Raw genomic sequence first — 25094 nt, forward strand, 5'->3', positions numbered from 1 at the left:
CCAGGTGTTTTCATAGTAATGTCTTCTTAAGAATTAAGGATCATGATTTTAAACGCTTTCCAGTAAGTGCTTTGAGTACTCCGGAGCAATTAAAAAGCAAGCTGACGCGCCAAGATAAAGTTGTGTCCCCCTAGTGACCTCTAGAGCGGAGCTAAGCTCCCACAAGCCAGACTTGGGAGGAAAAGCAAAAAGCACGCCAAAGCCTGAGCGCTGCTGTAGTCCAAGCCAATGTATTCAGTAATACCCTTCACCCCTCAGTTCTCATCTGAGTTCCTGTCCTTTTTTATATAACCCCAAAGGCTCAGTAAGTCGCTGCCTCCCAGGTCATTGGGCCCATTGTGTTGAAATCCAACTTCGAACGACGCCCCTTCCTTGCCACCATCCTCAGGTCCAGTTCCCCCGCGCACAGCCTTCCTCACCGCGCATGGTGTCGAGCCCACTTCCACCTCTCTGCAGTGCTGCAGACAACCTCTAGGGCTCTGCGAGTCCCCCAGCGAGAGCTAGGGAGCCGACAAGCTGCGACCTCTGCGAGTCCGCGCTGCGGGAGCGGGTGGCTTGCACCTGCTCCCCGCGCGCCGGCTCTGCGACCCCTAGGCAAGACGCAGCCCAGGAGGCTCCCTCCCGAGTCGCGCCCCGGACCACGCCGCAATGCCTCGTCACCCCAGCAACAAGCTCTTCCTTGTCCTCCCCGCCATCGCTTCTCTCCGCGAACTTTCCAACTTTGGAAGCCCGGGTTCCAAAGGAGCAACAGGGAGACTGCTTAGCCGGAGCCACTGCCCGTCTCGACAGGTTGGGGAGCAGGAAGTAGCCTGCAGGGACTCGGCCGGTAGCAAGTCCCCTTGACCGCAGGGAAAAGGAGAGGCAGCCAGCTCCAATCTCCTCCTGAGGATGGAGGTTGGGGAAATGGATGCAGAACTTGTCACCCTAGGGACGAAGGGGCGGAGGGAGGGGGGATTGGAAGAAAAGAATAGAAGAGACCATGAAAAACTCTCTCTCTCTCTTACACACACACACACATACATACACACACACACACACACACACACACACACACACACACACACGAGAGGGAGAGAGAGAGAGATTCCGGAAAAGACAAGATGCTAGGAGCCCAGTCGCTTCTCTCCCCACTGCCCAGAGGCTAGGAGGTGCAACAGATAGATACCCAAGCTCGCCGAGTAGCAAAGGGGTGGGGTGAGAGAGGAGTCTCCAGGTTTCCCCAGGTTGCAAAAGGGGCACAAACTCCTGTCAGTGTCCCCGGAGGCCAGGGGAGGTGCAGCGGCGCCGCGGTTTCCCCCACCCCCTCCCCGGACACGGCAAACTCTTCCCCGGCAGGAGCCTTCCACTTGGCCGCGCCTGGATGTAAACAGGCCGGCCCGAGGGGCAGAGGGCGGGTGAGAGAGGGGAGGCGGCGAGGGGAGGAGGGAGCGGGACTCACCCTTGATGCTGGGGGGCTTTCTCTTCTTGGCCATCTTCTGTCCCCTTCCCTCCCCCGGACCCCCCACGCGCTTCCTCCGGCTGCCGCGCAGCTCCCAGGCGAGCCCTCGCCGCGGCTCTCAGCTCAGCGAGCTCTTTGTTGCTGTGATGGCATCTGCGAGCAGCAGCGGCGGCCGGGCTGCGCGCTCAGCTCGGCTCGGCTCGGCTGGGGCGGGCGCCGCCGCCCCTCTGCTCTCGGCCGCGCCGCTGGCCCCCCTCTTGCGCTGCTGTGGACGCGGTGGCTGCTGCGGCGGCGGCGGCTGCTGTGCTGCTCCTGCTGCTGGAGGGGGCAGCGCTGGGTCCCCTGAGCGCCCGCCCAGCGCTGACCTCCCCCTTCTCCACACCCTCCCTCCCCCACGCCCCCACCCCCGGTGTCCCGTCTGAGCCGCCAGCCCCCATCCAACCGGCTACCGCGCCGTCATCCAGCAGCCTCTACTGGAAAGACAACGGTGGCGGCGGCGGGGAGCTGCTGGGGGGCGCGGAGAGACCGCGGCCATCTGGGGCCGGGAAGGAGAAAGCCAGGCAGAGTCTGATGGAGTCTGCCTCCGGCCTGCCTTCCTCTGGGCCTTCGAAGCCCCCTCTCAAAAGGCCAGGACGCGCTGGGCCCAAGAAAGACACCCGTCTTCACAGGCCAACCAGAACTCTGGCCACCTGCGGGAGGACGGCACTGTCCCTTGCGACCCGGCCCAGGAGCCGTCCTCCTCCACAGCCTCCTCGAGGATAGCGAGCCCGAATTCCACGCGGGCGATGAGCCCCGAAGCGCGCGGTTGCCTCTGCCCCTCCCGAACCGAGAAGGAAAGAGGGGAGAGGGAAACAGGAGTCTGATGGAGGGGAGAGAAATGGAATTCCAGAGGCAGCCCACGGGCAGACACCTGCAAGAATGGCTGTGTTCTGGCCCTGAAGTTCTTAATAGTGAGGGCCCAGGATAGTTCCCTTGGGGCTGTGGGAAAAGAGGGAAGTTCACGCTCTCAGATGTTGGAGGAATTGGAAGCCGGAGGTGTGATTTCTTGGCCTCCAGCAGAAACTTGGTTACAGTGGCCACGTTCTTTCTCTCTCTGATTGGGGGTTTGCTTTGGAAAGTTCTCATGTTCCTGGAGGAGCTGTCCTCCCCTCGCGTGCTGATAAGGGATGAAAAGAAGTTCTGCTGGCGTCCCAGAACTGCAAGGGCAGGCGAAAGTTTAAGAATATAAAGGAGTATCGGACCTTAAAAAGAAACGCTTAAAGGGTAGGGTAGGGAGAGGTTACCAGGGTGTGCCACTGTGGGAAGAGGCTACAATATCGAATTTTTTTTATATGCTGCAGCTGAGATTGCCGCCGAAACGCACTTCCTAATTCGCAGTGACCTTCTTAACACTTCTCCTTTCCTCCTCCTAGGTTAGTACAGTTCCCAGCCCAATCTGATTGTCTAAACATTCAGTGAGTTAATTCAATATCTCCACCCAGAAGTTGCCCCAGTACTAGTGTGGTGCGGCAAAAAGAACAGTGAAGTCAAAAACCCCAATTGTGAATTCTGGCCCTGTAACTTCGTAGCTCTGAGAATTTGGACAAGTCACTCAATCTCTCTGCTCTTCTGTTTTCTGATATGTGCGATATCATCTCAAAAATTTCTTCCAGCTCCTGAGATATTAGTGACAAAATCATCACAAGTTATTTTTTCAGCCCTTCTAAATATAGCTTCATATAATGTAATATATTGAAGTAAATAATCTAGAAACATGTGAAATGACCAATTCCTCTCACAATGAAGATGTGCATCAGAAATAAAAAACAAAGAACATGTTTCTTTTAATAAGCAAAATAGACCCATTCTCAGACTTATGATCAGAAATAAGACTGACTCAAAGTTTTCCTCTTCCAAACAGCTGCCTCTTATTTAATTAAAAACTACTCTTCTAGGTCTTCAAATGTTTACTGTGTATAATATTAGACTTTGTAAATATTTCAGTCCATTTTATGTGCTCATATTTTATCACCAACTACTAATTATTGCCTATATTAGAATAATGTTTTTCTGTTTATTCATTACTTTCACATACTTTATTTCATTTAATCATGACCACACCCATGAGTTGAAAAGCAGGTCCTGTCTTCTAGGTTTTACAGACGGTGAAATGGGATTCGTGGAGGTATGATAACTTGCCCACAGCTTCGGTGTAACTCTTTTAACTCAATACCCAGCTCTCTCCACAACACTAGCTGCCTATGTGAAATAGAATATTTCTGCTTCAGACCAGGAATGGTTTCCTTTTTCTAATTTATTCCTTCCACAATGTCAGTACTATTCTCAACAGAGGAGACTCAAATTTAGTTGACTAGTTAGGACTATTTTTGGTACATGGATGTGATTAATATGCTTTTACACTGTTAGCACTTCAAAGTGTCCTTACATGCATTATCTCAATTAAGGTCATGACAATCACATAAGATCATCAAAAGAGGTTTATTCAGCCCTGCTGAACAGATGAGGAAACTGAGACCAAAAGACATTAAGGCCACAACTACCCAGGCCCTGGATTTCCAGGCCAAGTGTTTCCCCTATAGCCCACACTGTGTGTTTTTGTTCAAGGGTTGCAATTAGAATGACTGCAGGGAACAGTAAGACAGAATACATGACACCATCAGTATAAATATACAGTCATGCATTGCTTAACAACAGAAATACATTCTGAGAAATGTGTCTTTAGGTGATTTCATCCTTGTGCAAACACCATAAAGTATACTTAAACAAACATACATGGTATAGCCTACTATACACTTAGGCTATGTGGTATAATCCATTGCTCCTCAGCTACAAACCTGTGTAAGATGTTACTATACTGAATATTATAGGCAATTGTAAAACAATGCTAAGTATTTGTGTATCCAAACATATCCAAACATAGAAAAGGTGCCATAAAAGGCTGGGCATGGTGGCTCAGCCTGTAATCCTAGCACTTTGGGAGGCTGAGATGGGTGGACCACCTGTGGTCAGGAGTTCACGACCAGCCTGGCCAACATGGTGAAACCCCATCTCCACAAAAAATACAAAAATTAGCTGGGTGTGGTGGCAGGTACCTGTAATCCCAGTTACTTGGGAGGCTGAGACAGGAGAATCGCTTGAACCTGGGATGTGGAGGTTGCAGTGAGCCGAGACTGCACCATTGCACTCCAGTCTGGGCAACAAGAGCGAAACTCTGTCTCAAAAAAAAAGGGGGGGGGGAAGGAAAGAAGGAAGGAAGGAAGAAGGGGAGGGAGGAAGGGAGAGCGGGAAGGAGGCAGGGAGTGAGACAGGGAGTGAGACAGGGAGGATGGAAGGAAGGAAGGAAGGGAGAAGGAAGGAAGAAAGGGACGGAGAGCAGGAGGGAGGGAGGGAGGAAGGGAGGAAGGAACAAAGGAAGGAAGAAAGAAAAGGTGCTGTAAAAATGCAGTATTATGAATTTATGGGACCACTGTCATATATTCAGTCCATCATTGACTGAAATATCATTATGCAGTGCGTTGCTGTATAGATGTACTTGACCAAGGGAAGGGGACTGTAGAGAACTGAGAGGGTGTGTACCACTAGTCAGCTGCAGGATGCCTTGTGGGAATGAAAACGTCGGGGCTGTAAGAATTCTGATTTTTCAGGAGTCAGAAATCCAAATTTTCTGGTGAAATATTCTTTTTGATGTTGATTAATACATTAAAAAAACAAAAACACAAACACAAAAAAGGGTAGGCCTAACAGAACACATCTGCCAATAATATGTAGACTATGAGCTATGTGTCCATGTGTCTGTTTTTAAATTTCATCAATTGCTTTTAACCTCCAAACAGCAAGGGCTGAACCAAATCCTTGAGTATGGTTCTAATTCTGATGGCATCTAATGTCCCTAGAATTAGAGATTACCAAGGCCTTGGGTGCAATTAATTATGATTTATAAAAATGATTTGTGTGATAGGTGTTTCTAAATTTCTGGCTATTCTTTTTATTATTATTATACTTTAAGTTCTGGGATACATGTGCAGAATGTGCAGGTTTGTTACATAGGTATTCACGTGCCATGGTGGTTTGCTGCATCCATCAACCCATCATCTACATTAGGTATTTATCGTAATCCTATCCCTCCCCTAGTCCCCCACTCACTGACAGACCCCAGTGTGTGATGTTCCTCTCCCCGTGTCCGTGTGTTCTTATTGTTCAACTCCCACTTATGATTGACAACATGTGGTGTTTGGTTTTCTGCTCCTGTGTTAGTTTGCTGAGAATGATGGTTTCCAGCTTCATCCATGTCCCTCCAAAGGATATGAACTCACCCTTTTTTATGGCTGCACAGTATTCCATGGTGTATATGTGCCACATTTTCTTTATCCAGTCTATCACTGTTGGGCCTTTGGGTTGGTTCCAAGTCTTTGCTATCGTGAACAGTGCTGCAATAAACATACATGTGCATGTGTCTTTATAGTAGAATGATTTGTAATCCTTTGGGTATATACCCAGTAATAGGATTGCTGGGTCAAATTGGTATTTCTGATTCTAGATCCTTGAGGAATCACCACACTGTCTTCCACAATGGTTGAACTAATTTACACTCCCACCAACAGTGTAAAAGTGTTCCTATTTCTCCGCATCCTCTCCAGCATCTGTTATTTCCTTTTTAATGATCACCATTCTAACTGGCGTGAGCTGGTATCTCGTTGTGGTTTTGATTTGCATTTGTCTAATAACCAGTGATGATGAGCATTTTTTCATATGTTTCCTGGCCACACAAATGTCTTCTTTCAAGAAGTGCCTGTTCATATCCTTTGCCCACTTTTTGATAGGGTTGTTTGTTTTTTTCTTGTAGATTTATTTAAATTCTTTGTAGATTCTGGATATTAGCCCTTTGTCAGATGGATAGATAGCAAAAATTTTCTCCCATTCTGCAGGTTGCCTTTGCACTCTGATGATAGTTTCTTTTGCTGTGCAGAAGCCCTTTAGTTTACTTAGATCCCATTTGTCAATTTTGGCTTTTGTTGCCACCATTGTTTTTGATGTTTTAGTCATGAAATCTTTGCCCATGCCTATGTCCTGAATGGTACTGCCTACATTTTTTTCTAGGGTTTTCATGGTTTTAGGTCTTACATTTAAGTCTTTAATCCATCTTGAGTTAATTTTTGTATAAGGTAGAAGGAAGGGGTCCAGTTTCAGTTTTCTGTATATGGATAGAATTTCTGGCTATTCTTGAAGCCATCAATGAGAATGATCACAGTAAATGAAATACTTTTTAAGTCACATGTGGTTCTTCTGGGCACAGAGACACACATTTTTCCTGATAGTGATGACAAGGTTCTGACAATGAAGATGATGACAAGGACAAAACTGGCCTCATCTCTATTTCCCTTAAAGGATAGTTCTGAATGAACCCTTTTGAAAAATAGACACAGAACTGAAATGGTAACATTAGTTACATGTCGTATAATCATTATTCTTAGATTTTTCTAGCCATGCCAAGACTACACATAAAGTAAGAAATAGTCAGAATGAGGAAAGGAATACATGTTCCTACGTGGAAGTATTAAGTAAGCTCAACAGGAATAATGAACTTATACAAATTATACTAAAGACAAAAATGAAAATGTAATTCATAGTACACAAAGCATGATTGCCATGAATGTATGTTAGTGCAATTGCAGTGAAAAGGTTGAAAAATATGACCCACAGAAGAGTATTTTTGACTGAAATATTTTACATTGAATACCTGTGCATAAATTAACTACCGTAGTTTAGAGAAAAATAAAAAGAAATAACAAATGTCCCACCAATTTTAATAATATTGTAACATCGAAGGATGTCAAATGATCCAAACTTGCTCCACTGTTGAAAAACCACATTGTATTTTAAATTTTTACACACAAAAAAATCATAATATTCACCTCAGCTGAGGTTTTTAGGGACTGTACAATTCTGTGACTGGAAAGGTTAAAATAGAAATAATAGTTGAAAGAGAATGAGATTAGCCAGCTAGTCCATTTTTTAAAAAATTTGTTTCTGGCACTTACAGACTCAATTAACATATGAAGGGGCGGAGAAACTGAGGTTGGCTTCCTACCCCATGCCACACACCATTATGTACACATGAGACTTAAATAACACTTCTTCCCTTTCTTGTGACTGACACAGATACTTACTATAATAAAATTTCACCTGAATTAAACAGAAGGTCTTAGGGTGAGACCCTGTAGAATTTTTAATCTCTTTACTCCATTCTGATTATCACATTGATGATCCTTAACTCAGAAAACATGCAATTTCATTTATGTGTGTTTGAATTGGGCAGAAAGATATGAAATTCAGAAACATCATTGAAGGGCTTAAATGCAAATTCTGAGTTTCTTAGATAAAACCTTCACAAAGAGAGTCCTCCTCACCCCACCCCCAACACTTTACTGCTTTCAAAGTACCCATAACACTACTATTACTACTAGCAATTAAAAATATTGTGCTCAATCTGTGCAGAGGAAAATTTTGTTAATTTTGCCAAGTTCAATTTGCCAACTGTCATCGAACCTCTAGAATTGCATTCCTCTAGAAGGAGTTAATTAATAGGGCACTTCTTTGTACTCACAGTGAAGTGTCTGCTTATTGCAGTTCAACTCCACAGAAACCCCCCCAAAAAAAATAAAGAAAAAAAGAAAGCATTTGGGATGGCCAAGAAATCTTAAAGCTAGTTATCTAATCATATAACCCAGAAATTTCACCAAGAGAAATGGCACAGACCTGGCTTGAGTGAGACAGAGTATGAATGGAAGGACACTGTCAGACATTACATAGAGATAGTTGTGTATAATCCACCGTTAAACTCTCAAGGTTTTCTGAAAAATACATAAACAACTAGAATTGGTTTCTTTAATACTCCAGTTGGCCTGCTCAAGGACAGAATTTTCTATATTACTCCTGCCAGCTTCCAATTAATCAATTTACCTCCAAAGTGTTCTTAAGTTGTCCCATTATAATTTGTTTATAACTTTGGTCCTTGGCTCAGTTTACCAACTCATTCCCTCATATATGAGTGAATCATTTGCATAAAAAACAAATGGCATACCAATTAACTAAATGCTTCTGACATATTTTTGACAATGAACCAAATTGTATTTTTCCTTGTCTTCTCTTTTCTACTTCTCTTAATGCAGTAACTATCAAACATTTATTCAACAAATATGCATTGAGTAAAACTATATGCCAGTCGTTCTTTTAAGTGATTGGTTATATAATGGAGAAATAAAACAGCATAGTTCATACATTCATAGTATTTACAGTTTTACAAGGGAGATAGAATTAACCAAATAAATAGATAATTACAAATTGTTACAAGTTCTATGAGAAGAAAAACAAAAAACATAGTGCTATAGGAGAGGGCAACATATAGCATAATTTAGATTGAGAGTGTCAAGGAAGATTCCTCTAAGAATGTGATGTTTAAAAAGAGAAATGAATGACAGAAATGAACTAGGCAAAAAGTAGGGAAAAGACTGCTCCAGGCAGGGAAAACAGCATGCTGAAAGGCCCAGGTAGGAAATTCAAGATCAGAGCAGTAATTTCTAAATTCCAAACTGACCAAGCATCCCACCAATTTTTTAAAAATTTCTCACACTTCTTCAACTACATTTATCTGGTTACTTTTATATTGTGTATACTATTGTACTGATATATTATATATTATAAAACATACACAAAAATTTGAAAGTCTCAAAGGATAAGGTTTTTTTTTAAAATGGACCATCTTGGACACTTTCAACTTCAGAACCTCCTGAATGAGATGAACTGAAGGACCAATGTGGCTGAAGCTTAGGACATGATAATATTAAGCAGAGAAATGGTATAATATAATTTACACTTAAAAGTACCAGCCTGGTTCTTGTATAGGTAATTGGAATAAGCCCTATAAACTAATGATATAGCTATAGAACTGGTTGAGAGTTAAATTTGCACACCACACCTCAGTTGTGCTCTGGAGCCCGTCATTGAGTTGGGGACTGATACTGAAACTTTCCATTTAAAAGTAATTCAAGAACCTACAAGCAATGTACTCCATAGCCATGAGCACAGATGACACCCACATCTTGGTTTCTAAATACCATCATTCACTAAAAGAAACAGGGATCCTTGGAAAAATGACTCCAGGTCTGCAGCAGGGAAAGTACCAGGTAAACCTGGAACATATTGATGTGTCAGAAAACACAAAAGAACTCAGACTAATTAGATCATGTTAAAAGGACAAAGGAGCCAGCTTGAAGTGGTTGTCTACTGATCAAACATATGAAGAGCTGAGCCCCAAAAAGATTAACTATGATAATGTATTCTAATACATTGAATAAAATAAAATGTGTAAGTCCATAGTGATAGTCAAAAGAGAAAATATTAACTAAATATTAACTATTTTTAGAAGAATATGAGCTAATAAATGTAGAAGAAATGATAGAATTACAAAGTCATCATTTTGCAATGCCCAATGTAATAACTATGAAATCAACAGATGCCAGAATCATTGGATAAAAGGTTGTTGGGAACATGATATGCATATGGTCTCAAAATATTGCCTCATATGTTAGTCATTAATTTTTTTTTCAGAGTGCTAAGGCTTTATTACAAATGGAGTTTACACTAGAGGGGCTCTTCTCCAATCTTTCTTCTGTACCCTCTTCTCTCCCAAAGATATCTCTCTAGGGGAGGTCAGTAGGCCATTAGAGAAGAGGAAATCTGGAGAATGAAAAAGAGCACTGCTCTTGCCAAAGTCCTCTGAAACAACCACTGAGTCCTTCTGGCTCCAGTTGAGAATCTGGACCTTGAAAATGAGAGCTAAACTTCTTCCACTAGAAGAGGATGATCACTGATGCTGCGGGTCCTCTGAGACTTAGCAATATCTTCTCTCTGAACCTCAATTTTGAGTTGCCCACTCACAGCCATCACTATGATGTTCCTTTGAACACAGACCTCTACTGAAACCAGCTCTGCTGTGACTTATGGCAAGTATATGAATGCTTTTTTCTAAATTACCCTTTATATCTCCTCAGGGTCACTAAAGAACCCTAGATCTCTTCCATAACGTGCACCAGTCACTGTTCGGCCACCATTTTTATTCTACTGTGTCACCTCACATTGACACAGGGCTTCTCTCAGAGACTTCCAACCTCTCAGCTACTGATGTTCCAAAGTTCCCGCAAAAACTATGAACCCACTGAGTCGCACTGTGAGTAAAGGGCACTGCATCATCTCTCACTTACTTGTCTCCCACACACACCCCTTAACTCCTCCCCTAGGACTTTCTACTTTTCATATGGTGGGACTTCCCTTGTATCATCTCCTCCATGCCTTCTACATTATGACTTGTTGTAATATTCTATTTCCAAAGAGCTAAATTTTCCTTTTGGTTTATAAAGGGCTACTTTTGGAACTTAGAAACCAGAAACTATTTCCTCCTTTCAAAAATCCTGGATTTCATGACAATTGTCTCACAAAGGGCTCAAGAAAATTGGCCTTGCAATTCAAAAACTGAAGAAAGATCCCTTTTCTCTAGGTGGATTATGCCTTTCCAGAAGTAACAAATGCCACTAATTCAAGGCGTAATTAGCCACTGGGCAAAGCATTTATTAGGAATTAAATATTCATTGGTTTCGCAGGCCAAAAATACTATCTTCACTAGGGTTACCAAAGCATATTCAATCGGAAAATCTGAATTCTGGTTGCAACTTGTCAAATGATACACTTTGTGACTTTTGACAACTCCCATAATAAAAAATAATAGGATCAGCAATTTTTGAGCCCCTATTTGGGCCAGTGAAGCTGGACTATCAGTGATACTGCGTCTCTTATTTATTTATTTTCTGGTACTCCTGTCTATTTATTTCTGGTAGTCTAGTCCCCCAGTTACCATCCTAAATCTTCACCATACCCCTGTAGTTTCTGACTCCAGCCTTCCAATGTAAGAAACCATAAGCTTCTGTAGTTTAAATTGCTGTTGTGTTTACTGATATTTGCAGTCACTTTCCTAACTGGTGCACCAGGTGGGTCTGGGTGCAGTTTGTAGATATGGTGGCAAGAAGTTAAGAAAGCTTCTGTGCGCTTCTAGTTTCTCTTTGAAGTAGGGCATATAGTTATCTGCTGAGTTTGAGGAAGTATGTTGTGGGGAAGAACATCTGAGAAAACCGGAAATGATTTTACATGCCTACTGTGGAGAACAGGGGAAAGGAATAATTAAGAAAACATTGAAAGAATCTTAGTCACTATTAGGGTCAAGATGCTGTTAAAGGCAATGGATTTATTTAGAGCAGAATCAAGCCTGAAATCATTTTATTTTGCTCCGTCAATGTAAAGGACCAGAGAAGGTCAGTGATCAGATTCATCTAGATGTGTGTTTTGTAACAAGGATTTGAGAGAAGGAGAACAGGGCACAGAGTTTAAGAGATTCATAAGAAACAAGAAGTAGTGTGTTATGGAATCCAGCCAGAATTAACAAAGATGTGAGGAAGGGAGGAGGCTGACCATCTCTCTCTCTCCTGCTAATATACCTGCAATGGTGTTCCATTGCTCATAGAAAAACAGTTCAAACACTCAAGATGCCTACACAGGAATGATCTGACTCATGACTCTTTCCAGCCTACTCTTGTGTTGCTCTTGCCGTTGTTCTCTATACTCAAGCCATGCACACAGAGGGCTGCAAGAAAATAAGCCAAATATATAATTTTTGATGAATTCTATTTGCTTTCTTTTCCATGTACATCCTCTCAGCCTGCCTTTTCTAGCCAAATCTTTATTGCTTCCCTGGGCTTATTTTTCATTAGCTCAGTCCCTTCTCTCTGTTCTAGCAACGCCACTTTTAACTTTAATTCTTTTAATTTCTTCTCCTTGAAACTTAATTGATCTCCCTGACTCCATTCTTTCACCTCTCTAATCCATCTTCACATTGATGCCTTGGTTATCTTCACATTACTCTGAGCAAAGCATATTATGCTTCTGTTCTTAAAGCTTTTATAGTACAGCATGAGCTTCCTATGTCATGTAAAGTTCTCCGCTACCTGGCACCAGTTCACCTTCCCAGCCTCCTCTCTTCTACTCTCTGCCCTCAACATTCTATGTTCTAGGCACACTGGATTCTTTATAATTCCTTAAATATGCCACATATGTTCATATGGGTTTGTTTTCAATCACATTGTTTTTTCACTTCCCATCTCCATCTTTTAAAGTCCTAGTCATCCCTTGAGTCATAAATGGTACTCATTTTCTGAGAAGTAATGGTTCCCTTTGTGTATTACCGTAACATGTCGGTTATACCTTTATCATTAAGATTTATTTCATTTACATTATATCTTGATTATCTGTGTGGATGTCTGTCTCTGTCAAACTAGAAGGTCTGTTTGGGTTGAGATTTTGTCTTAGTCATTATAATAGGAACTTAGTTCCTAGTTCAGTGGTAAGTAATCCTTAACAAGAGCAGTAGGGGATAGGGTTGCAATAGTATTTTGGGATCAGATTAGGGAGCCCCTGAATGTCAAGTTACAATGAAGAAAGGGACTAAGAGTGGTGGCTCTCCTGTAATTCTAGCACTTTAGGAGGCCAAGGTGGGAGGATCATTTGAGGCCAGGAGTTCAAGACCCAGCCTAGGCAACATAGCGAGACCTTGTCTGTACAAAAAAATTTTTTTTTAAATATCCAGGCACGGTGGCACACACCTGTAGTCCCAGCTACTTAGAAGGCTGTGGCAGGAGGATTGCTTGAAACCAGGAGTACGAAGCTAGAGTGAATTATGATCATGTCACCCACTCCAGCCTGACCAACAGAGCAAGACCACATCTCTATTAAAAATAAAAATTAAAGAAGAAGGGAAATTCGTATATAATAGATATTTAATAAATACTTTTTAATTGAAGAGCTGTTAATAACCCAAATCTCTTTTTTTTCTTCATTTGACAGATTCTAAGTTTTCCCATTTGCACAGGAAAGGAAACTCTTCCTTTATTCTTTGGAATATTATTAATTGATTCATTCATTCAGCTTTTCTTGAGCATCTAGTATGAGTTGAAAGAGAATTTATAGTCCATCTAATTCAGTTTTCTCAGTTTAAACCTAAGGAAACTGAGGCCCAGCAAGTTGAAATGATTTAACATAGGTCTTACAGCTAGTACGTGGCGAAATAAATGACTAGAAGCTAGTCTGTGCCTTGCCTTCTAACCCACAGCTTCCTAATTTTACAAAATTCTTACAAGTTTGAGTAGGTGATAGGCAGAGTGATGGCACCCTAGAAACCTATGCAGAAAAAGATTCTAATTACCAAATTCAAAACTTTAGGATATGAAAGAAGTTTCCCTCTGCCTCAGGCTCTCATTGCTTTATATCTGATTTTATAAAACCTTCCCAATTTGTTTCACTGCTTTCATAGTTCCCTCTCTGCAAATTGATTTCACATATCTGTATCAGACCACATGCTAGTTCCCAAACCTAAAATGAATGTTTCATTTCATCAGTCACCTATTTAAAAATCCTGTCTACTTTTCATTGATTACAGAATAGAATATTGATTACAGGGTAAAAGACAGGTCTAGATTCAAATCATGCCTCTACCTTGCCTCTTTCTTCCATAAGCTGTGTTTCAAGCAAATCACTTAAACATTATGACCTTTAATTTCTACAACTGACAAATGGCAATAAGAGAGTTTAAGGTTTCGATATTGGATTTCAGCCAAATATTTAAAAATATCCTTCCCATATAACTTAATTATATGAATAGCAAATGGGAAAAACTAAAGCAGCAAAAAAAGTAAATAGCATTCAAACAAGAGAAAGGTTCATGTCATAACATTCAAAAAATTGTAGCCATCAAAGAAAGACACAAAGAAGTTTTCAAGAATTTACAGAATAAAGCTTAGAACAGTATGGCAAACCTCTTAATGTCATCCTCCAAACAAGCACTTTGTAGGGAAGGTGAGCAAACAAAACTCTGAAAAGTATAACCACCTACTCCTACACTATAACATGGGAAAGGTAGCTTTAGATGAAATATGAGTAACCCTTAGAGGAGACAAAGAATTTTGCAAGGGGGGAAAAGTCCCATCTCAACTAGTTGCATGTTCTACCAGAAAAGGGAACTATTGGAAATCTCCCTTTTGGCATCTTCCAGCTGGGTGAAAAAGGAGAGGATGATGGCAGAACAATCATAAACACCCATAGTTAATTATCTCCAACAATAAATAGTGATATAGCAGAAAGGAAGAAAAAAATAGAAAATAATTAGGACAAGAGTCTCTAAGGGAGGGAAAGTGGAGAAGAAGCATGTGTAGTGCCTGAAGGGAAGTAACCTACATGTACTTCCTATGTTGTTTATTTTTTTCCCAGAAGATAAGAGAGAGGAGCTTGGGAGGAAGAGAAATTGCTACTGGGGAGAAATGGGCAAATATGGAAAGGGAAACATAAAACAAGCTAATGACATTGAAATAGAGAACTCAACAAACAAAACCAAATTCCAGATTACTTTCTTTAAAGCAAACAAAGAATCTGGGCTCCATGTTGATTAGAAGAAATAATCCAAAGCCCAAGAATACTTCTCAGTGTAATGAATATAAACTCCAATAGATTAAGATTTTAGCACAGAAAACATTTACTAAAATTTCAGAAGAGAGTAGAGTGTGGATCCTCCTCCAACTGTACACAGCCACAGTTGAGCTCTTTCTTCCTCCTTGAATCTAAGGTAATAGAAAAGCAAGTGGAATTCACTCACACTATAGCACAGCGAAGAGAAGGCCTAAACAAAACTGCTGTATTTTAAAAGATAAAAAGAAGGGACACAATAACTTTGCAAACACATTATCAGCAAAAATAAATACATATGAGAAAGAAGGATACAAATACAGATGAAAAACCATGCTGGAAGTAAGCAGAACTTCACAAAGAAATAATTTCCAGCCAGTGCTTCATGATATAAAAGTTAATGAGAACATAAAATCAATTTTTAAAGAAATGAGGTGTAAAACAGTATTGAAGATGAAAGGGAAGAACGCAAAGCTGAGAAAACAAACTGAGAACCACACAACACCATTAAAAGCAAGTTAGAAAGCACAAGATATATCTCCATTGAATATAATTTCAAACTCAAAACTCAAATTTAAATTTCTTCTATCCCCAGCCTATGTAAGTAGGAGTTAAATTAGCTTTTCTTTTTCTAGCTCCATCCCCCCAATTTGCTAGTCATTGTTTCTGATATCTGTGGGGAGGAGGGTAAGAGTTGGGGAAATGCAGCACAGCTTTTGTGACAGCTACAGTTGTAATCTACCCGCAGGGCCCTCTGGGTGGCAGAAATACAATAGCTGACTCTGTAGGGTGCCTTTGTGGGTTTCTCATCAATCCCAGGCAATTGGCTTGTCTGCCTCTTTTCTGTCTGCCTGCTGGATTTCTGGGGTCCACCTCTCAGTTCCTGTCCTTCAGGCAAGTACTCTTGGTTACAATCATTTCCATAGGGTCCTTATCAAGTCTCAGAAACATTCACCATTAGCCTGCCACATGAAGAAGTACAGCTCAGTCACAAAGCAGCCACCTGCGTGTTCAGCCGCCAGACTGGGCAGTTCCAGCTACAGCATCTCAGCTTTAGAATATTCACTGGTAAGATGCTCAAGTTCCTGGAGACATGCAAAAGCTTTCCAAGTGGTCCTCTAGAAAAGCCTCTCCTTAACCTTAGGAGAGAGGATTCTGCATCTACCACATTCTGCCTTTTTTCACTATTATTATTATTATTATTACTATTACTGGGCTATCTGACTGGTCCAAATTCAAGGACAGGTGAAAAGACAACTTGGCTTCTACAGAAGGTTGTTTTTACCTGTTTACTCCCAAAGAGTAAATAAACCGTCATTGATAAAAATAAAATAAGAAGAGATCAGTGGATGCAACTCCCCATGCTTTAAGTGTATTTCACAGAAGCTCACCTGAGGTTCAGAGGAATTGGCAACTGCCCAATTTTCCAGGTCAGAGAAAGACATGGACTCGCTGTCTTTCAGGTCCCCAACTATGTCAATACTCAGAAACAACTTAGAACACCAACAGAAGGCATTAAGTCGCCTATCCGGGGAGCCATATTCTTCAGGGTCTGAAATTCTTGCTGTGCCAGCACTGAGGCAATTTCCACTTCTCCGAGCATGCTCTGCAGTGTCTATTTAGGGTATTTGTACCATCAAAAAATACATCCACTTCTCCATCAGAGGCTGGTACTTAAGGTGGGTGAAATGTAAAACACTGTCAATTTCTCACCAAATAAATCTCTTTCTCTTCAACCTCAACTTCTTATGTAGACTAGAGAGGAGTGAATCACTGCAGCTGGCAGAACTAGTTTAGAACCTTGACCTTTGAAAGTTCAACATGAATGGTCTGGTTCCTCTCTTTAGAATGGGAAACATATTGTTTTGTTGTTAACTTTTCCAACAGTGCATCTTGTTGTCTACCATATCCTTTCTTGTATTATTACTGCTAGGGTATCTGTGACTTCCCTAAGACAGAGACAATATCACTCCTTTTTTTGGAGACAGGGTCTCACTCTGTCACTTAGACTGGAGTGCAGCAGCCTAATCTCATCTCACTGCAACCTCCACCTCCTGGGCTCAAGCCATCCTCTCACTTCTGTCTCCCAAGTAGCTGGGACTATAGGCATGCACAACCACACCTGGCTAATTTTTTTTTTTTTTTTTTTTTTTTTGAGACAGAGTTTTGCTCTGTCACCCAGGCTGGAGTGCAATGTCGCAATCTCAGCTCACTGTAAACTCTGCCTCCCGATTCTCCTGCCTCAGCCTCCCGAGTAGCTGGGATTACAGGCACACTCCACTGCGCCCAGCTAATTTTTGTATTTTTAGTAGAGACGGCGTTTCACCATGTTGGCCAGGCCAGTCTTGAACTCCTGACCTCAGGTGATCCACCTGCCTTGGCCCCCCAAAGCGCTGGGATTACAGACATGAGCCACTGCGCCCAGCCAATTTTTGTATTTTTTGTAGAGTTTTTGCCATGTTGCCCAGGCTGGCCTCAAGCTCCTGAGCTCAAACAATCTGCCAGCCTTGGCCTCCCAAAGTGCTGGATTACATGGATGAGCCACCCTGCCTGGACAGTATCACTCATCCTTATTTTCTCTGCAGTGCCTGGAGTCACTGACGACAAATCATAAGCACTTGGGAAATTTAATTTTAAGGAGAAGCCAACTTTTCCCTTCCTGTGCACATATTACCCACCCTTCAGTCCTGGATAAGGCTACCTTTTCCATGAAGAATTCCCTTCTATTTCAGCCCCATTATTTTCTCCGTGTCTCTGAACTCTGAAACTTTGTTCATATGATGCTTATGTCATCATGTAAATTTTTCTTTACCTTGCCTCTTCAGTACAGACTTGAGCTCTTTATGGATCATCTTATACTTACTTCTTTAGAGACATTCTTATAAAATATTCAATAAATATTGAAACAAATGCTGTGCTAACTCAGATAAAAAAATCATCTCAGCTATATGTATTTCAGAAGGAGCTACTTCTTTTTTTTTTTGCTTGTGTTGTGTAACATTAAACTAAAAATAATTCAAACAAGGATCATCCTGAAATGTTAGAGCAAGAGAGAACTTTAGAGATGATCAGTTCCACACAGTTTACTCCATTGTAATGAAGTGGCATCTTACAAATGCTGCCTCCCTTCACCCTCTGCTGACCATTCTAGAAACTGCACCTTTTAAAATCTCATTGCAGAATGACTATCATTCCTGTTTTTCCATGCTCCTGAAATTGTTTTTCAAGAGTCAGGTTTAAATGTGTTCTATATAATGGCACTTGTTCACGCTCCAGAAAAACTAAGACTCTATTACCCACAGGGAATATTTGAGCACTTGAGTTCTAGAGCCAAATTGCTTATGTTCATAAGTTAGTCCTTCTGCTTCTGGCTCAGACAAGTTACCTAACATCTCTGCTGATCAGTTTCTGATCTAAAAAATAAAAACAACAATAATAATGGTGATCTTTAAAAGTTGCTGTGAGGCTAAATCAATTAGTGTCTGCAAAACACTTAAAACAGTTCCCGAAAACAGCAAGCCCTCATTATTATTTGGTGGTGCTGGTAGTAGTTGTGATTAATAACTTTTATACCAATGACAAATATTTCTTGTTTGTTCATTTTAGCAGGCTAAACTGGAAAAGCTATACACACACTCTGATCTATTCATCTTTAAATCCCTAGTATTCAGCATGGTGTCTGGGACATAGTAATTACTCAACAAATGTTTGTTGAATAAAGTTTATAAATAATATGATTACTTAAAATGCAAGCTCTTTGTTCTTTTGGCTTAGGATTGGCTTGGCGATGCGGGCTCTTTTTTGGTTCCATATGAACTTTAAAGTAGTTTTTTCCAATTCTGTGAAGAAAGGCATTCGTAGCTTGATGGGGATGGCATTGCATCTATAAATTACCTTGGGCAGTATGGCCATTTTCACGACATTGATTCTTCCTACCCATGAGCATGGAATGTTCTTCCATTTCTTTGTATCCTCTTTTATTTCATTGAGCAGTGGTTTGTAGTTCTCCTTGAAGAGGTCCTTCATGTCCCTTGTAAAGTGGATTCCTAGGTATTTTATTCTCTTTGAAGCAATTGCGAATGGGAGTTTACTCATGATTTGGCTCTCTGTATGTCTGTTATTGGTGTATAAGAATGCTTGTGATTTTTGCACATTGATTTTGTATCCTGAGACTTTGCTGAAGTTGCCTATCAGCTTAAGGAGATTTTGGGCTGAGACAATGGGGTTTTCTAGATATACAATCATGTCATCTGCAAACAGGGACAATTTGACTTCCTCTTTTCCTAATTGAATACCCTTTATTTCCTTCTCCTGCCTAATTGCCCTGGCCAGAACTTCCAACACTATGTTGAATAGGAGTGGTGAGAGAGGGCATCCCTGTCTTGTGCCAGTTTTCAAAGGGAATGCTTCCAGTCTTTGCCCATTCAGTATGATATTGGCTGTGGGTTTGTCACAGATAGCTCTTATTATTTTGAGATATGTCCCATCAATACCTAATTTATTGAGAGTTCTTAGCATGAAGCATTGTTGAATTTTGTCAAAGGCCTTTTCTGCATCTATTGAGATAATCATGTGGTTTTTGTCTTTGGTTCTGTTTATATGCTGGATTACATTTATTGATTTGCGTATATTGAACCAGCCTTGCATCCCAGGGATGAAGCCCAGTTGATCATGGTGGATAAGCTTTTTGATGTGCTGCTGGATTCGCTTTGCCAGTATTTTATGGAGTATTTTTGCATCAATGTTCATCAAGGATATTGGTCTAAAATTCTCTTTTTTGGTTGTGTCTCTGCCCGGCTTTGGTATCAGGATGATGCTGGCCTCCTCAAATGAGTTAGGGAGGATTCCCTCTTTTTCTATTGATTGGAATAGTTTCAGAAGGAATGGTACCAGTTCCTCCTTGTACCTCTGGTAGAATTCGGCTGTGAATCCAACTGGTCCTGGACTCTTTTTGGTTGGTAAGCTATTAAGCTGGAGGCATCACGCTACCTGACTTCAAACTATACTACAAGGCTACAGTAACCAAAACAGCATGGTACTGGTACCAAAACAGAGATATAGATCAATGGAACAGAACAGAGCCCTCAGAAATAACGCCGCATATCTACAACTATCTGATCTTTGACAAACCTGAGAAAAACAAGCAATGGGGAAAGGATTCCCTATTTAATAAATGGTGCTGGGAAAACTGGCTAGACATATGTAGAAAGCTGAAACTGGATCCCTTCCTTACACCTTATACAAAAATGAATTCAAGATGGATTAAAGACTTAAATGTTAGACCTAAAACCATAAAAACCCTAGAAGAAAACCTAGGCATTACCATTCAGGACATAGGCATGGGCAAGGACTTCATGTCTAAAACACCAAAAGCAATGGCAACAAAAGACAAAATTGATAAATGGGATCTAATTAAAGAGCTTCTGCACAGCAAAAGAAACTACCATCAGAGTGAACAGGCAACCTACAAAGTGGGAGAAAATTTTCGCAACTTACTCATCTGACAAAGGGCTAATATCTAGAATCTACAATGAACTCAAACACATTTACAAGAAAAAAACAAACAACCCCATCAAAAAGTGGGCGAAGGATATGAACAGACATTTCTCAAAAGAAGACATTTATGCAGCCAACAGACACATGAAAAAATGCTCACCATCACTGGCCATCAGAGAAATGCAAATCAAAACCACAATGAGATACCATCTCACACTAGTTAGAATGGCAATCATTAAAAAGTCAGGAAACAACAGGTGCTGGAGAGGATGTGGAGAAATAGGAACACTTTTACACTGTTGGTGGGACTGTAAACTAGTTCAACCATTGTGGAAGTCAGTGTGGCGATTCCTCGGGGATCTAGAACTAGAAATACCATTTGACCCAGCCATCCCATTACTGGGTATATACCCAAAGGACTATAAATCATGATGCTATAAAGACACATGCACACGTATGTTTATTGTGGCACTATTCACAATAGCAAAGACTTGAAATCAACCCAAATGTCCAACAATGATAGACTGGATTAAGAAAATGTGGCACATATACACCATGGAATACTATGCAGCCATAAAAAATGATGAGTTCATGTCCTTTGTAGGGACATGGATGAAATTGGAAATCATTCTCAGTAAACTATTGCAAGGACAAATAACCAAACACCGCATGTTCTCACTCATAGGTGGGAATTGAACAATGAGAACACATGGACACAGGAAGGGGAACATCACACTCTGGGGACTGTTGTGGGGTGGGGGGAGGGGGGGAGGAATAGCATTAGGAGATACACCTAATGCTAAATGACGAGTTAATGGGTGCATCACACCAGCATGGCACATGTATACATATGTAACTAACCTGCACATTGTGCACATGTACCCTAAAACTTAAAGTATAATAATAATAAAAAAAAAATGCAAGCTCTGATTTACACTCAGTCCAAATCTTGACTCTGCCATTTAATAGGTATGAAACTTAACTTTGGGGAGGGATTATTTATGTATTTATTTTTAACTTGTTTAAATTTATGGGGTACAAGTGTAAATTTGTTACATTCATAGATCGTGTAATTGTAACGTCAAGGCTTCAGGGTATCCATCACCTGAATAACATACATTTTCCCCATTAAGTAATTCCTCATCATGCACCCCTGCCACACCCACCCATTCACCCCTCGGAGTCTCCTTTGCCTATCATTTCACTCTCTACATCCATGTTTACACATTTTTTAGCTTCCACGTATGAGTGAGAACATGCGATGTTAGGCTTTTTGTGTCTGGCTTGTGAAACTTAACTTTTCTGAACTGTTATCATATATATAAAATGATGGTGATTACAGCTCACACTTCCTAAGACTGTTATAAGAATTAAGATATTATATACAAGAAAAGCACTTACAATAAGATCTGGCACAGAGTAAACAATAAGTAAATGTTAGATAATATTATTTATAAAGATTTCCCAAAGTAATATTTATAAAGTATAAGCAGACTTGTAAGAGCATCTGACATACCTGAGTTTGAATTCTGACTCTACCATTTGCTAGATATAGGGATTTAAACATGATACTTAGCCTGTAAACCCAAAATCCTGATTTAGAATTCAGATAATACTACTTCCTTTCTGTTTTAAGAAGTAAATGAAATGGAGTGTATAAAACAACACTGTGCCTGAGGAACTGCAATCATTTAATAAATGACTAGTTTTGTTTTGCTGATGTAGTTCTTGTTTTTATTATTAGCTTTGCCAATAAGGAATTTTAATCCAGATAAGAAACAAAGAAATAAATAACTACAGTATAATGCAAGTAAATGTCATGGAAATAATAAAGTTAACAAATGCTTTGACAGTTTATGAGTAGGAATGATCAGTGTGAGCTGCAGTAATAAAGAATACTTTCTGAAACAGATAACATTTCTATAAAAGAAAATAGAGAATAGGTAGATATCCCAGGCAAAAAGAAGTATGACCTCAGGAAAGGTAAACCAAAGCACAAAAGCAGGAAGAACAAGGCTTATTTGAGCAGTAGAGAAAATGGGCACAATTAGTAGATTTATTATAAAGATATTCATCAAATTATTAATCCAGACCTGCACTGACCAATATGGTAATCATTAGCTGTATGTGACTAAAGAGTTCTCGAAATATGGCTAGCATAACTAAGGGACTGAATTTTTAATTTAACATAATTTTAACTAATTTAGATTTAGAAACTGAAACAGTTCATAGGAGCCAGCAACTCCATTCCTCAGTATATATTCAAAATAATTAAAAACAAAAACTCACACCAATACTTGCACAAAAATGTTCATTGCAGCACTATTCACAGTAGCCAAAAGGTGGAAACAACCCAAACATCCATCAATATATGAGTGGATAAGCAAAATGTGGTCTATACATGCTATGGGATATAATTCAGCCATAAAAAGAAATGATCCTGATACATGCCACAACACTGATGAACCTCAAAAAACATTATACTAAGTGAAATAAGCCAGACCCAAAAGGACAAAAATTGCACTTACATTAAGTATCTAGAATAGTCAAAGTCATAGAGAGAAGAAGTAGCGTAGAGGTTACCAGGGGCTAGTGGAAGTGAGGAATGGAGAGTTATTGCTTAATGGGTACAGAGTTTCTGTCTGGGTGATGAAGAGTGTTTGGAAATAATGGTATGGTTGTACAACACTGTGAATTTAGTTAATGACACTGAATTGCAACTGAAAAATGTTTAAAATGACAATATTTTTGGTGATATATATTTTATTACATTAAGAAATTAAGCAGAGTAAAATATTTTTCTGATAAACATATCTTCATTGTATTTAAAGTTTATCAATTCCGGGTCAAACTGGGGGAGTGGAGAAGACAAATTAAAAAATATTTTATTGGGAAAATTTATAAGAATTGAAACATGGGAATACCCACTATACACAGACATGCCTTTAAAAGGACTATCCATGAGATCCCCTTAAATTAGCCTCTTCCAAAAAGATATTAAAATAGTGCTTGAAATTTTAATTCAAAAGTATAGTGAATTTCTTTCCCTCTATTACCTAGTACCTCACTGATATAAATCCGCCTATGCAGTTGACATAGTTTTGCCAAATTATTGTATATTCTCTTGACCTTCCTTCTTAAAATATTTATTATAATTGTGTAATAATAGCTAACATTTACATGGCAATTGTTGTATTAACTCTTTTAATCCTCATGACATCTCTATGCAGTAAATATGATACAAAATAAAAAGACTTAAATAATATGACATCATTTATTGTCTTATTATAATATTAGAAGCTAATAGTACGATTAAAGCAAGTTTCATGTTTCAAGTATAGTGACTCTGATGGCCATCACTGCTCCAAAATCACACAAGTGAAACATAGAAGCATTTGTATGATTTAACATAGTAAGTAGAATCTAGTTTTAATAGCTATTTTATAACCTGAAATGTATTTATTCTTATAATAACAAACACAGTGTTAATATGTATTAAAGTTGTAGGATCTTAATATCAAAACAAAATGAAATAAAACCTGCAAGGAATCAGGAAAAGTTCAACACTGTCCCATGAGGATTTATAGTGAGGAAAGTGGTGCAGTCTAGGTTTAACTAAGGTAGGAAAGCCAACGAAAGAGCCCAGGCTGTGTTACACAGAGACAGCAATTGAATATACTCCACAGCTGAAATCATAAAGTTTCTCAAGCAACCCATTAATAATTAAATTTGCTTTCTCTGATAAATCTTGTCAGCCTGCTCCAAGGAAAACGGTCCTTCTTTCTTTGTAGTTTTCAGCCAATCAACTTGCCCATGGACAAAAAACAAAATTCATTATTTTTATGACTATACATAGCTTTCCACTATGTATATTTACCACATTTTCTTTATCCATTCCTTCATTTTCGACACTTAGATTCATTCCAATATCTTGGCTGTTGTGAATAGTGCTGCAATAAACATCAGAATGTAGATATCTTCTGCCAATTGCAACAATATGAATGAACCTGGAGGACACTGTGTTAAGTGAAATAAGCCAGGCACAGGAGCACAATTATCACATAATCTCACACGTATGTGGAATCTAAACAAGTTGATTCATGTAACTGGAGAGTAGATGAGTGATTTCCACGGGCTGAGGTGGATGGGGGGAAGAGAGTTGGAAAGATGTTGGTCAAAGGATATGCAATTTCAGTTAGATGAGAGGAATAACTTCAAGAGATCTATCATACAACATGGTTATAGTTAATAACAATATACTGTATTCTTGAAAAATGCTAAGATAGTGGATGTTAAGTGTTCTCACCACAAAATGATAACTATGTGAGGTAATGCATACGTTAATCAGCTAGATTAGGTGAATCCACAATGTATGTATACATCAAAACATACTGTGATAAACACATGTAATTTTATCTGTCAATTTAAAACAAAACAAAACAAAATTATTGTTCTACCAGTCTATAGTTCATGTTTTAATAAAGCCTTCTTTACTTTTGTTCCATGATAATCAACCTATGCTTGATACAGGGAAAATACTACCTCTCTCAAATCTAAGTAAACTCAGCTCAGTTTCTAGCCAAACTAAATACCTCTAAATTAT

The 25094-nt window shown here is 40.0% G+C and overlaps 1 protein-coding gene across 7 annotated transcripts in view, besides 1 other annotated feature; it reads right to left on the bottom strand.

Annotated features, from left to right (window-relative positions):
- SLC44A5 (solute carrier family 44 member 5) overlaps nucleotides 1-25094 on the bottom strand; it is a 521887-nt gene that overhangs the window by 412286 nt on the left and 84507 nt on the right. For 5 of the 7 annotated variants that reach the window (XM_047449166.1, XM_017000608.2, NM_001320283.3 and 2 more), the window contains exon 1: nucleotides 1439-1749. The exons of the other annotated variants lie outside the window; for them this stretch is intronic. In XM_047449166.1, the coding sequence (XP_047305122.1) occupies nucleotides 1439-1472 (34 nt within the window). In that variant the 5' untranslated portion in view covers nucleotides 1473-1749. Of the gene's footprint in view, nucleotides 1-1438; nucleotides 1750-25094 lie in introns of those variants that run through there. 7 annotated transcript variants of the gene reach the window in all.
- Nucleotides 1529-1748: a silencer, noted in NCBI's record as "silent region_995". NCBI's record gives its function as "represses an Ori minimal core promoter by ATAC-STARR-seq in GM12878 lymphoblastoid cells {active_cell/tissue: GM12878}" and the evidence as "EXISTENCE:reporter gene assay evidence [ECO:0000049][PMID:35858748]".

This window comes from Homo sapiens, chromosome 1 (genome assembly GCF_000001405.40).
Source record: "Homo sapiens chromosome 1, GRCh38.p14 Primary Assembly".
Taxonomy (NCBI): domain Eukaryota; kingdom Metazoa; phylum Chordata; class Mammalia; order Primates; family Hominidae; genus Homo; species Homo sapiens.